The sequence below is a fragment of the Homo sapiens genome, chromosome 6 (assembly GCF_000001405.40).
Source record: "Homo sapiens chromosome 6, GRCh38.p14 Primary Assembly".
Taxonomy (NCBI): Eukaryota; Metazoa; Chordata; class Mammalia; order Primates; family Hominidae; genus Homo; species Homo sapiens.
In genome coordinates, this window is record NC_000006.12 from 7463909 (window position 1) to 7465534 (window position 1626).

The 1626-nt window shown below is 40.2% G+C and overlaps 1 annotated feature.

Moving 5' to 3' along the window:
* Window positions 1-993: an enhancer, noted in NCBI's record as "NANOG-H3K27ac hESC enhancer chr6:7464142-7465134 (GRCh37/hg19 assembly coordinates)". NCBI's record gives its function as "activates a minimal SCP1, AML or CMV promoter by ChIP-STARR-seq in naive H9 embryonic stem cells {active_cell/tissue: H9 hESC(naive)}" and the evidence as "EXISTENCE:reporter gene assay evidence [ECO:0000049][PMID:30033119]".

The following is a 1626-nucleotide window of genomic DNA, read 5'->3' on the forward strand; positions in this document are numbered from 1 at the left end:
CTTGGAAATGATGCATCTCAGAGCACAGCCAGATGCTGCTGGCATGTCTGGGCCTCTCACTCACTCTGGAGGCGGAGGGAAAGACCTTTGATCTCCAAGGCAAACACAAATCCATTCCGGAGAAAGGAGAGGAAGGTCTCTGGGGTTTTACAATCCTTTGGAATGCAAGCAAATGGTTCTGGGGAAAAGGAGGCATTCGTTATCTTTTTAGCATGTCACTCTCTGTTTCTCAGAAAGGTCCAGAAGTTTCAGGAACACTGAGAACTCCAGGGAGGATGGCGTTCCAACAAGAACTACAACATATATAACCAAAAAGGATTAATATATGATTAATTAGCTAATTCCTACAAATAAGGATAAGGTAAGCAATCCTATCAAAAATTGGATAAAAGAATGTAAATTGGCAGTTTATAGAAGAGGAGGCTGGGTGCGGTGGCTCATGCCTGGAATCCCAGCACTTTGGGAGGCTGAGGCAGGTGGATCACCTGAGGTAAGGAGTTCGAGACCAGCTTGGCCAACATGGCGAAATCCTGCTTCTACTAAAAATACAAAAAGTAGCCCAGTGTGGTGGTGTGGGCCTGTAGTCCCAGCTACTCGGGAGGCTGAGGTGGGAGGATCACTTTAGCCTGGGAGGCAAAGGTTGCAGTGAACTGAGATTGTGCCTCCAGCCTGGGTGACAGAGTAAGACCCTGTCTCCACAAAAAAAAAAAAAATTCCAAATGGCCAATAAACATTTGAAAACATTGCTGGACTTAGCTAGCAATTAGGGAAATGGAAATTTAAATTAAAATAGGTACCAATAAAATGCTGAAATATTTCCCAATATTTACAAAAAGGTGTGTGATGTGTTACATTTCAGGTTATAGGAATTTGTGAAGAAAATGAAAATATAATTCTACTTATATAAAAAGTCCAGAATAGGCAAATCTATAGCCATAGGAAGTGGATCAGTGGTTGCCTAAGGCAGGGGAGACTTCAGGAGAGGAGAGAGGAATTGCAGGTGGCAGCTAAGAGGAATGAAATTTCTTTTGGGGATAATGAAAATATTCTACAATTAATTGTGGTGATGGACGCATAATTCTGTGAATATACTAAAAGTCACTGAATTATACACCTTCAATGGGTAAATTGTATGGTATATAAATTATATGTCAATAAAGCTGTTTTTAAAAAGTGGAGGATGGAAACCATATATACAGCATGCTGACATAGTTAATAATAATGTATTATATACTTGAAATTTGTGAGAATAGATCTTAAGTGTTCTCACCACACACACAAGGATAACCATTTGAGTTGATGGATATATTAATTAGCTTGATAGTGGTAATCATTTCACCATATATATCATATTGTATACCTTAAATATAGACAATTTTTATTTGTCAAGTATGCCTTGACAAAGTATAAAGCTGAAAAAATTAAAAATAAATACGCTGGGCACAGTGGGTCACGCTTACAATCCCAACACACTGGGGAGGCTGAGGAAAGCAGATCGCTTGAGCTCAGGAGTTCTAGACCAGTCTGGGCAACATGGCGAAACCCTGTCTCTCTAAAAAACACAAAAATTAGCTGGACGTGGTGGTGCGCATCTGTAGTCCCAGCTACTTTGAGACGATTGCTTGG